At 45.6% G+C, this 12,967-nt stretch overlaps 2 annotated features.

Moving 5' to 3' along the window:
- Nucleotides 11,760–12,275: an enhancer, noted in NCBI's record as "H3K4me1 hESC enhancer chr1:36156799-36157314 (GRCh37/hg19 assembly coordinates)". NCBI's record gives its function as "activates a minimal SCP1, AML or CMV promoter by ChIP-STARR-seq in naive H9 embryonic stem cells {active_cell/tissue: H9 hESC(naive)}" and the evidence as "EXISTENCE:reporter gene assay evidence [ECO:0000049][PMID:30033119]".
- Nucleotides 12,276–12,793: an enhancer, noted in NCBI's record as "H3K4me1 hESC enhancer chr1:36156281-36156798 (GRCh37/hg19 assembly coordinates)". NCBI's record gives its function as "activates a minimal SCP1, AML or CMV promoter by ChIP-STARR-seq in naive H9 embryonic stem cells {active_cell/tissue: H9 hESC(naive)}" and the evidence as "EXISTENCE:reporter gene assay evidence [ECO:0000049][PMID:30033119]".

Here is a 12,967-nt window from a genome sequence, read left to right as displayed (position 1 = left end):
CACCACCATACTCAGCTGATATGTCTATTTTATAAATTGGGAAATAGAGACTCAGAGAGGATAAATGAATTGCACAAACTCAACAGCTTGTGATGAAGCAGGGACCCTGTTTATTCAACTATTTGACCATCCAGGACTCTGTTAAGTCCGTAGTAACACAGAATGGCAGGGCTTAAAGGAAAGTCTGATTTGTGCGTGTGTGTGTATGTGTGCGTGTGTGTGTGTATGCACGCCTGCACTTGTACAGGAAGGGTTAGCCCAATGGGAGTGCCTTTGGCATTTGGATAATTCTTTGAGTGAGCTTGTCCTGGGCAATGGAAGGTCCCAGTTAGCATCCCTGTCCCCTAGACAGGAAGTACTAATAATAGCACTGCCTACCCAATTATTGAGAACACCAAAACATCTCTTTCACATGTTTAAAAGCCCCCTATAGGGGTAGTATCTCCCTACACTTCCCCACATGGCCACCCCCATCACTTAGAACCACAGGGCTAGAGTCCAGCTTTGGACACTGGTCCTTGTTCTATTGTCCCACCCCCTTCTGTCCTTCTTCCTGCCCAGGGCAGTTCCTCCTATCTCTCCGGCTCTCTTAGCAAGAAAGAGTGGAATTACAGAGGCTGGAGTCTCAACCTGCCTCTGAGGCCAAAGGGCTGTTCCTTTAGGGAGGCTGGTTCTCAGGATTGAGGGGTTTCCAGGGTGGGTTAGTTAGAGGTAAGGGAGGGAAAGGACCCCACCCCCGCCCCCTGCAGGCCTCACCTAATCGCCACACTCTGCATTATTACCCGCCTAATGCAGCGTGCTTTTAAATAAAATATGCAAAGATTTTCCTCTCAGATGATCTCCCCAGGCAAGCTAGCTCAACTCCAGCTTGTTAATGGGAAAAATGCAAATAGGGCCTCCCCCGTCTCCCCCAGCCCCTAGGCTCTGGACAGCTAATGCGCTTTGCTTTCCTTCTTTCTGGAATTTCTGTTTCCCTTGAAACCATTACTTCGGGGGGTGGGGGGGGGAGTCGGGGGAGGGGGTGGTGGCGAGGAGGTTTTTCCCAGGTGCCATCCAAAGGGAGAGTCTTAGAAGGGAGGAAACAGCCCAGGCAGGAAAAGTTTGGGAAAATAGCGCTGTTATGGAGCCTGCCCCTTTCTGAGCCTCCTTTCCCCCATCTGAGATCTCAATTAGTCCTTCCCGGGGCTGCTGTGAGGCTGAATAAAGGGAGAGGCATTAGCCGGCACATGCATTTGCAGGTTCGATTTTCCAGTTTAAATTTGCTATGCTTGAGGGATACAAAGATGGAGATAACAGACATGACTTCTGCCCTCATCAAGCTCACAGTCTAGCAGAAAAAAAGCCCCAGATCATTTGAAATTTAAAAAGCAATTATAGGGCACCTTAAGCAATCAGCTTCATCATGATGAAGCAATGGACATCTGCCTCCCGATGCAGCCTTTAGGACTCCCCTAGGTACCACTCCTGCCCATGATGTGGAACCTGAGGAATGCAGAACCAGGAGGAAACCATCAGGCAAGCCTAAATTCAGGGTTGGCCTACAAAACAGCTGGCAGGTGCTCTTCAGAAATATCAATGCCATGAAAGAGGAATGAACTGTTCCAGATTAAAGGGCACTAAAGAGACAGGAGGCTGGGTGTGGTAGCTCACGCCTGTAATCCCAGCACTTCGAGAGGCCGAGGCAGGAGGATCACTTGAAGCCAGGGGTTCAAAACCAGCCTGGGCAACATGGCAAGACCTTGTCTCTACAAAAATAAAAATAATTATCCAGGTCAGTTGCCTGCATCTGTAGTCCCAGCTACTTGGGAGGCTGAGGTGGAGGATCACTTAAGCCTAGCACTTTAGTCCAGGTGACAGAGTGAGATCCTGTCTCCAAAAGAGAGAGAGAGAGAGAGAGAGAGAGAGAGACAGGACAACTAAATGCAATGCATGATTCTGGATTGGATACTGGAGGATTGGAAAAAAATTTCTGTAAAGAGCTGGGCGCGGTGGCTCATACCTGTAATCCCAGCACTTTGGGAGACCAAGGCAGTATGATCGTTTGAGCCCAGGAGTTTGAGACCAGCCCTGGCAACATAGGAAGACTCTGTATCTACAAAACAAAAAAATAATAATTTTTAAAAAAAATTAGCTGGATGTGGTAGCATGTGCCTGTAGTCCCAGCTACCCGGAAGGCTGAGCTGGAAGGATCACTTGAGCCTGGGAGGTCGAGGCTACAGTGAGCTATGATCACACCACTGCACTCCAGCCTGGATGACAGAGTGAGACCCTGTCTCAAAAAAAGAAAAAATTTCTGCGAAAACTGTGGTTCCCAACCTTTTTGGCATCAGGGACTGTATTTGTAGAAGACAGTTTTTCAACGGACTGGGGGAGGAATTTTTGGTTTTGGAAGGAACTGTTCTACCTCAAGATCAGGCATTACTTTCTCATAAGGAGCACACAACCTAGATCCCTCACACGCGCAGCTCACAATAGAATTTGCACCTCTATGAGAATCTAATGCTGCTGCTGATCCAACAGGAGGTGGAGATGCTGTGCAGCTTGGTTCCTAAAAGGTCACTAACCTATACAGTCCGTGGCCCAGGTGTTGGGGACCCCTGTTGTAAAGGACATCATTGGGACATATGGCAAAGTTTGAATATGGATTTTATTGTAGATCTTTTATTGTATCAACCTTAAATTTCCTGAATGTGCTCACTATATTTTGGTTATATCAAAGAATTTCCTTGTTTTGGGGAAATATATGTGGAAATGTTTAAGGATAAAAGATCATAACATATGCGACTTAGTCTCAGATAGTTTGCAACTTTTCTGTAAGTTTTAAATTTTTCAAAATAAAAAGTTGAAAAAGAAAAAAACAAGCATAATTGGCCTTTTAAAAGCATGATAATGATATTGTAACTATGATTTTAAAAGTGCTTATCTTTTAGAGAAACTTGCTAAATAAAACATTTACAGATTAAATAAAACGATCTGTTTTATTGTTTAAAAATAAGACAGGAGGAGGGAAGTAGATGGGGGGTTAGGTGAAACCAGATTGGCTGTGGGTTGATAATTGTTGAAGTTGGGTGATTAGAATACTCTTCTTTTTTTTCTTATGTTTGAATTTTTCCATAATAAAAAAAAAATTTTTTTTTTTAAGAAAAGCAATTACAAAATGTAATTCATGTCAAGAGAAAGGTATGTGTTTAACCAGGGAACACGATCCAATTAAGGGCTTTGAAGAAGACTTTCTAGATAGAAGACAGGAGTGTACTTTTTGTTTTTTTTTTGTTTGTTTGTTCGTTTTTGTTTTTGTTTTTTTGAGACAGAGTCTCGCTTTGTCACCCAGGCTGGAGTGCAGTGGCACGATCTCGGCTTACTGCAAGCTCCGCCTCCCGGGTTCACGCCATTCTCCTGCCTCAGACTCTCCGAGTAGTTGGGACTGCAGGCGCCTGCCACCATGCCCGGCTAATTTTTTGTATTTTTAGTAGAGACGGGGTTTCACCGTGGTCTCAATCTCCTGACATCGTGATCTGCCCGCCTTGGCCTCCCAAAGTGCTGGGATTACAAGCGTGAGCCACCGCGCCCGGCGGAAGACAGGAGTGTTTAAACAGAGACTTAGAGTGAGCAGGGCCAAAGGACAATGAGCAGGGGCGAGGTAGGGAAAAGCTCTCCAGGCCAAGATACAACAGGTACAGGGATGAAACAGAGCGGTGGGGTTTGCAGGACCTGAAAGAACTGAGGCAGAGAGAAGTCAGGCCAGGAGTAGAGACACGGGGCAAGAGATGACCTTGCATGCCAGTTATGGGTTTGGGGATTTTATCCTGAGTGCGACAGAGAGCCTTGCAGGAAAGTGACAGGATCAGATTTGCATTTGAGAAAGAACTCTCTGGTGCTGTGCGGGGAAAGAGGACTGTGCAAGGCTGGGGACAGTTGGAAGCTCCAATCTTGTGGGTTGAAGCTGAATCACTTTCCCTGTACTCCCCAGCTTTTCTGACTTTATCACTTCCTGTATTAGTTTCTTTTGGCACTGCTGATAAAGACATATGGAGACTGGGTACTTTACAAAAGAAAGACATTTAATGGACTTACAGTTCCACATGGCTGGGGATGCCTCACAATCATGGCAGAAGGCAAGGAGGAGCAAGTCACATCTTACATGGATGGCATCAGGCAAAAAGAGAGCTTGTGCGGGGAGATTCCCCCTTATAAAACCATCAGATCTTGTAAGACTTATTCACTATCATGAGAACAGCACAGGAGAGACCTGCCCCCAGGATTCAGTTACCTCCCACTGGGTCCCTCTCACAACATGTGGGAATTCAAGATGAGAATTGGGTGGGGACACAGCCAAACCATATCACTTCCCTTATCCATTTTCAAATGAAGGATGAAGCTTAGGTGACAGATTTTGAACATGAGACCAATCCACCCACAGAGCTGGGATGGCTGGCTGTCTCATTTTTAATTCCCTCCACCACTAGCATGACAGGAAAGCAAGATGACTGATGGTTCAGCATTCAGACTCTGGATCCAGGCTACCTGGATTCAAATTCTGCCTCTGCATCATTACTAGCCAATGACCTTGGACAAAAGGGATGGTAATAATATTACCTACCTCACAGGGAAGTTGTGAGGATTAAATGCTTTGCTATGTATCAAGTGCTCAGAATAGGGCCATAATAAGGACTTAAATGAGTCTACTCTGGACTGAGCACCACCCTGGAAAGATGTAGGTGGATGGAAAGGGAAGAAAAGACAGATTCTTCAAAGATCTGAGCCTTATTGGACAAATGGAACACAGACATTAAAGAGCAATATCAAAGCACCATGTTACTGCATTATTCACAATATTAAATACAGCTGGACATAACCAAGCATCCATTCATAAGGGAATGGCTAAGGAAATTGTTATATCCAGTAATGTTCAGGAAAATGTTGGGGAATTGCTATTTTATTATATGAAGTGAAAAAGCCAGAAACAAAATTGCAAATGTCACATGAAAGGATAGGAAAAAAAAAAAAACATTAGAAGGAAATGCCCTGAAATGTTTATAGTAGTTAGCTCTAGATGGTGGTATTTGGGTGTGGCTTAAATTTTTTTTAAGTCTTTTGGATTTTTTTCCCCCAAATACAGAATAATATGCAATAATTACTTTTATATGGGAACATTTCAATCTTATTTTGTTAAAAAAAAACTGGTTTGGGTTAAAAATGAATAATAGTGGCACAGTGGCTCATGCCTGTAATCCTAACTTTGGGAGGCTGAGGTGAGAGGATTGCTCAAGCTCAGGAGTTTGAGTCTGCAGTGAGCTGTTACTGTGCCACTGCTCTCCAGCCTGGGTGAGAGAGCGAGACTCTGTCTCAAAAAAAAAAAAAAAAAAAAAAAAGAACAATGGTGAACATCATTAGCCATCAGGAAAATGCAAATCAAACCACAATGAAATACTCCTTCACACCCACAAGGATGTTAATAATCAAAAGAACAGATAATAACAAGTGTTGGTGAGGATGTGGAGAAATTGGAGCCCTCATAACTGGCCGGTGGGAATGTAAAATGGTGCAGCTGCTTTGGAAAATAACCTGGCAATCCCTGAAGTGTTTAAACATAGAGTTACCATGCAACCCAGCATTTCCATTGATAAGTACATATATACCCCAAAGAATCAAAAACATATACAGTAGTCACACAAAAATTTGTACACAATGTCATAGCAGAAATATTTATAGTAGCCTAAATGGAAATGACCCAAATGTCCATCAAATGATGAACAGATTTAAAAATGTGGCAAATCGTACAATAGAATATTATTTAGCAACAAAAAGAAGTGAAATACTAAGGCATGTTATTTATTATATCATAATTATATTGTATTATATATTATATGTTATGTTATAAAGCTACCAATTACAAGTTTGAGAAGTAGCGTTATGGAATTACTCTGATCATAAGAGGGGCTTGGGATAGCAACCTGATCGAAAAGACTGAATCTTTTTTTTTTTTTTTTTTTTTTTGAGATGGAGTCTCGTTCTGTTGCCCAGGCTGGAGTGCAGTGGTGCGATCTCGGCTCACTGCAAGCTCCACCTCCCGGGTTTATGCCATTCTCCTGCCTCAGCCTCCCGAGTAGCTGGGACTACAGGTGTCTGCCACTGCGCCTGGCTGATTTTTTTTATTTTTAGTAGAGACAGGGTTTTACCGTGTTAGCCAGGATGGTCTCGATCTCCTGACCTCATGATCCGCCTGCCTCAGCCTCCCAAAGTGCTGGGATTACAGTCGTGAGCCACTGCGCCCGGCGAAAAGACTGAATCTTGAAGCTGCACTTCCAGAGTGCTTTACATACTAAGAAGACATTGTTGTCAATATCAGAGAAAGAAAGACCAATGATAAAAATTACCATGTGGGGAGCGGGGCTGAAGATACCAGGGATGACTTTTCTTTTTTTCTAATATAACTCTTAGCATGCTGGTGTATCTTCTTTCACATTGTTTTCCCTAATAATACTTTTTACGTAGTTGCAATTATAGTGCATAAGCATGATGAATCCTAACTTTTTGACTTAACATTGCAATAATTTTCCATGCTGTTACATAGCATGGAAACCATTATTTTTAATAGTTTCATCATGTTCCATTGAACCACTCATTCTTAAATATCTAACTAATTCCCTATTATTAGATATTTAAGCTGTGTATAATGAATAATGTTAGAATGAACATCTTTGTTCATATTTTTTCTCATATTTCAAACTATTTATTTAGGGTAGGTTCTCAGAATTCCCAGATCAAAGTGTCTTCATGGCCCTTGAGAAATACTGTGAAATCATTTTCCCAAAGATATCCTTGCAAATGTAATAAATATAAAATTAATAAGTAGACATGATTGTATAAATATAACAATTAACAAAACATACCGTGTGGTGTTATATATATTACAATTAACAACATTTGTTATTAAAATTGTTATCCTTCCTTCTTTACTAATTCCTAGGCAGTTGAGTATCACACTCTTTTTTTTGTTTTTTTCTCTTACAGTATCCCAACAGACTTTTCATGTAGCACCTGCTCTGCCTGTGCCGTGCTAAGAGGCTCTTTCCACTGAATCTGTTGGATGGTCATTGAAGTACGATGCCATAACAAGGTGCTGAGGGCCGAGCCAGGTCAGTGGTGGGGAAAGAGGAGATGGGAATGATGAATTCAAGGGAGTTTAGACAAAGCCTAATATCCTCTATGGGATGAAGTCTTGGTTGGATATAGGGTAAAGGAGAAGGAGTTGTTGAGGATAATTGACTCAGCTACCAAGCCTAGCAGATTGGTCATACCATCAAATAACACAGAAAAGGAACAGATTCAGTTCAGTTTCGGGTATGTTGAATTTGAGATGCCCGAGGGCTTCCAAGTGGAGATGATCAGCAGGTGGCTGGTAGGAGATGATGTGATACTTCACCCACATCCCCCTTTCAGAGATAAGGCACTCATCGCCCTGTTTCTAGGAGTGTTGGTAGCTGAGGGCTCTCAGCTGAGTGCCCCTCTGCCTTTGCCCTCAACAGAAGAGAGCCACCTGGCCCAAGGTCACACTGCCTTCCCAGGCAGTCAACATCCAATGACTGACCAAAGTAGGGGTATAAAGGCTGGGTCCCTTTGCTTAAGGAGAAGCATGTCTGAAGGCCACTCAGTTTCCAAAACTCATTTCAGGTTGTTTGGGGCTTTTGTTCTGACCATTCAGTTACTTCATCTGCGCAATCCTCCTTTCTTCCCTCCCCACTGTGTTGATCCCAAGAGCATTCCTCAATACAATTCCTGCCCGCAGGTCTCCACCTAAGAGTGTTTTCAGAAAACCAACTTTAGACAGTTGGGAAATACATGCCTAGGCTAGGGAGGAAAGTCTTTTTGGAAGATAGAAATTTGGAGATTATTTGTCCTAGCAAGGTTGGTGGACATGGGGTGGTGGGCAAGATAATGGGAGATGAAGAGCCAGAGAGTGGAGGCTGCATCTTAGGAAAGGAAGGCTTTAATTTACGGGGTGGGGAAAAGAAGAACAGGCAGAGGAGGGAGCAGAAGCATGACAATTACAGTGAAGCACTGAGGCGGGCATTTTCAGGAGGGGCAGCCATTTAGGGCCTCTCGTAGGCTATCAGAGCCCAGGCCACCTTTGTGTATTTGAAGGTCCAGAGCACATTTAAAAAGTGTTGCCGGGGCTGGGTGTGGTGGCTCATGCCTGTAATCCCAGCACTTTGGGAGGCCGAGGTGGGCGGATCGCTTGAGGTCAGGAGTTCAAGACCAGCCTGGCCAATATGGTGAAACCCCATTTCTACTAAAAATTAGCTGGGAGTGGTGGCACACGCCTGTAATCCCAGCTACTCAGGAGGCTAAGGCAGGAGAATCACTTGAGCCCAGGAGGTGGAGGTTGCAGAGAGCCGAGATTGCGCCACTGCACTCCAGCCTGGGCAACAGAGCTAGACTCCATCTCAAAAAAAAAAAAAAAAAAGAGTGTTACCAGGTCCAGTGACACTTGCCTATAGTGCCTGCTACTTGAGAGGCTGAGGTGGGAGGATAACTTGAGCCTGGGAGGTCTAGGCTACCATGAGCCAAGATTATGCCACTGCACACCAGCCTTAGTGACAGAGTCTCAAAAAAAAAGTGTGTAATGCCAAAACAATGTTTTTTGTTTGTTTGTTTGTTTTTGTCATCCAGGCTGGAGTGCAGCGGTACAATTTTGGCTCACTGCAACCTCCACCTCCTGGGTTCCAGCAATTCTCCTGCCTCAGCCTCCCGAGTATTTAGGATGACAGGTGTGCGCCACTATGCCCAGCTAATTTTTGTATTTTTAGTAGAGATGGGGTTTCACCATGTTGACCAGGCTGGTCTCGAACTCCTGACCTCAGGTGATCCACCCACCTCTGCCTCCCAAAGTGCCAGGATTACAGGAGTGAGCCACCACACCCAGCCAACAATGTGTTTTAAGTATGGTATAATTTAAATGCTTACTTTGTGTCTTAGTCAGTTTGGGCTGCTGTAACAAATATGTACCACCCATAGACTGGGTGGCTTAAACAACAGACGTTTATTTCTCACAGTTCTGGAGGCAGGGAAGTCCAAGATCAAGGAATTAGCAGATTCAATGTCTGGGAAGAAACCACTTCCTGGTTTGTGTATGGCTGCCTTCTTGCTGTGTTCTCTTGTGGTAGGGAGCAGAGAATGATCATCTCTCATCTCTCTCATGTCTCTTTTTATAAGGGCACTAATCCCATTTGTGAGGGTCTATCCTTATGACCCAATTGCCCCCCAAAGTCCTCCCCTCCAAATACCATCACATTGGGGATTTAGGCTTCAACATATGAATTTTGCAGGGACACAAATATTTAGTTCATAGCACCTTAATAAATTACTCCTTTTAACAGTTTTTTAAAAGTCAGACGAATCGGCCAGGCATGGTGGCTCACACCTGTAATCCCAGCACTATTGGGAGGCTGAGGTGGGTGGATCACCTGAGGTCAGGATTTCAAGACCAGCCTGGCCAACATGGTGAAACCCCGTCTCCACTAAAAATACAAAAATTAGCCGGGCTTGGTGGCATGCACCTGTAATCTCAGCTACTCAGGAGGCTGAGGCAGAAGTATCGCTTGAACCTGGGAGGCAGAGGTTGCAGTGAGCCGAGATTGCACCACTGCACTCCAGCCTGGGCAACAAGAGCGAAATTCCATCTCAAAAAAAAAAAAAAAAAAAGTCGGATGAATCTATGTATAACTTAATTGGAAATAAAAGTATAAAATGTAGGCTCTTCATGAATATGATGCCTGTGCCAAAAGTCTCTCCTAGCCACTGGTTGTCCCATCTTTCCCTGCACGAGGCCCTGCAGTTAGCAGAGTGTGACCTAGTCAGAATTTGGGAAATGCCTTTAGGCAATGAGGAGGTGACCTTGATTTCAGCCATGTCCGAGGGGGCCTATGTTAGAGCCATACTGTTGAAGATAAGAATGTCAGCTGTAATCACGGCATCATTCAGCTTAAACCTCTCTCTCTCTCTCTCTTTTTTTAAAGACAGGGTTGCCCAGGCTGGAGTGCAGTGGCATGATCATGGCTCACTGCAGCCTTGATCTCCTGGGCTCAAGTGATCCTCCCACTTCAGCCTCCCAAGTACCTGGGACCACAGGCATGTGCCACCATGCCTGGCTAATTTTTTTATTTTTATTTACTTTTTTTGAGGCAGAGTCTTGCTCTGTCACCCAGGCTGGAGTACTGTGGCACAATCATGGCTCACTGCAACCTCTGCCTCCCGGGTTCAAGCAATTCTCCTTGCCTCAGCCTCCCAAGTAGCTGGGATTACAGGCGCCCACAGTCACGACCGGCTAATCTTTGTATTTTTTAGTAGAGACAGTGTTTCACCATGTTGGCCAGGCTGGTCTTGAACTCCCGACCTCAGGTGATCCGCCCGCCTCGGCCTCCCAAAGTGCTGGGATTACTGGCGTAAGCCACTGCGCCCAGTTGGCTAGTTTTTAAAAAAAAATTTTTTTTTTTTTTAAGATATGAGGTCTTGCCATGTTGCCCAGGCTGGTCTCAAACTCCTGGGCTCAAGTGATCCTCCCGCCTTGGGCTCCCAAAATGCTGGGATTACAGGTGTGAGCCATCAGGCCTGGCCTTAATCCTCTCTCAAGTTGGCTTTAGGCTCCCGGGGCAGTCAGAGGCTGATGGCAACCATCTGTGGGCTGAGAAGAGGAGCCCATAAAGGAAAGATGGAATATGTTGGACAGAGATGGCCCGCTGCTGCCATCAGGATGACCCAGCTCAAGCAGCCAGGCAGGAAAAAAAGCAACAAATTCCTCCTTCCTCTGCCTTTTGTTTTATTCAGGCCCTCAAGTGAGTGGATGATGTCCAATCACACTGGGGAGGGCAATCTACTTTAGGGAGTCCACTGATTCAAATGCTAATCTCATCTGGAAACACTCTCACAGATACAGAAAACAATGTTTAATCTGAGCAACCACATGTCCACTCAAGTTGACACGTTAACCATTACAGCAAGGCAAGGCTCAGTAGACTGATAGAGATGGGAGCCCAATTAGAGAGACGGATGGAGTGAGCAGAACTTAAGGAAATGAAGACTGTGAATGTTGACCACATTCAGAAGTGATTGCCCTACTTTACTAAGGCAATCTAGGATGGCTATTGTCAAAAACAAATAAACAAAAATCCAGAAAATACCAAGTGTTGACAAGAATGTGCAGCATTGAAACCCCTGTGCATTGCTGGTGGGAATATAAATAGTACAGCAGCTGTGGAAAATGACATGGCAATTCCTCAAAAAATTAAACATGGAATTACCATATGATCCAGCAATTTCACCTCTGGGTCGGGGTCGGGATTATTGTTATTTGATTGTAGTTACATTAGGGAGCCTCCAGTTTATGTGTGGACAGTTGTGTATTTCCTGGATACCAACGCCAGCTCCTCCTCAAGCAGAGGAGTGGAGGAAGCGGCTTTCTCCCTAGTGCCAGGAGTTGGCTGTATGCCCCTGGTTCTTAGAACAGTGTTGAGACAACTTTGACTAGATGTAGCCACTCTTCTGGAACAGATGTGAGTTTTGTTGGGGCTATGAGGGCTGGAATTGCACCTAAGATGCTGACCTCAGAGGCAACTCAGCCTCTCCCTGGCCCAGAGGTTCAGCTGAGCATTCCCACTGTCCCAATTTGGAGTAGGAGAAGGAGAACCCGGTGTGGCAGTATTTATTTATTTATTTATTTATTTATTTATTTATTTATTTATTTAAAGATGGCGGGGGGGGGGGTCTCCCTATGTTGCTCAGGCAGGTCTCAAACTCCTGGGCTCAAGCAATCCTCCCGCCTCAGCCTCCAAAGTTGCAGGGATTACAGGCACAAGCCCCAGTGTAGGAGTTAACAGCTCTGGGCTTCGTGAGTGTCTGTGAGTGAAGAGGGTTCCTGTAGCCCTGTGTGTGTTGGGGTGGGGAGGGTTCCTGTAGCCCTGTGTGTGTTGGGGTGGGGAAGGTTCTTGAGAAGTCTTCTGGGCTGCAGCTAGGCCTCCTTTGAGGGGCCAACCTGGGGCTCCAGAGGCTTAGGGTTCCGGCCGAGTACCTGCTCAAGTGTGGGGCACCCTGCAGCCTCCCAGCCTTGTTCTTGCTTCTTCGACCCTCCCCCACCCTCACCCTAGCTAGCCCAAGCCCACGGGACTGGCTGGGTGTCCCCCAGGCAACTGCGTTGACAGCTGCAAGTCCCAGCGGAGGAGGCAACCCCACGCCTTCCCCTCTTTACCGACTTTACAACCTCTCTCCAGGGGTCCTTTGTAGAAATGGAGTGAGAGGCAGAACAGAGGCAGGCTCCAGCTGTTTATTGAGAGAAAGAGTGTGTGTAAGGAGAGAGAACTGTGCTGAAAAATGAACGTGTCCCTTTTCCAATTTCCCTCCCAGCCCTGCTCATCTGTACAGGTGGACCCAGGGCTTGTCATTAAGTCTCTACCTCTGACACCTCTGCAGCTTTCATGCCCGGGGCACCCTGCCTCTGTCTCCCCCTCCCCAACTCGGCCTCAGCTGCATACAGGGGCCCAGCACCCTTGAAGCTGCCCCCCCACCCCAGCGCCAGCCCTCAGAACTAGCCCTTCACAAAATAACCCCCAAACCGCACTTCAATCTTGGCACTGAGCTCCTTGATAGCAGGAGATAGAGGGAAGAAAGAGAGGAGAAATGCAGAGAACAGAACTGAGTGTAGGTCGGGCATGGTGGCTCATGCCTGAAATCCCAGCACTTTGGGAGGCCAAGAGAGACAGATTACTTGGGCTCAGGAGTTTGAGACCAGCCTGGGCAACATGGCCAAACTCCATCTCTACTAAAAATACAAAAAATTAGCCGGGCGTGGTGGTGCATGCTTGTAGTCCCAGCTACTTAGGAGGCTGAGGTGGGAGGATCGCTTGAGCTTGGGAGGTGGAGGTTGCAGTGAGCCGAGATCAAGCCACTGCACTCCAGCCTGGATGACAGAGCA

This window comes from Homo sapiens, chromosome 1, assembly GCF_000001405.40.
Source record: "Homo sapiens chromosome 1, GRCh38.p14 Primary Assembly".
In the NCBI taxonomy this organism is placed as follows: Eukaryota; Metazoa; Chordata; class Mammalia; order Primates; family Hominidae; genus Homo; species Homo sapiens.
The sequence above is the reverse complement of the archived record's forward strand: the minus strand, read 5'-3'. Positions and strand labels throughout refer to the sequence as shown.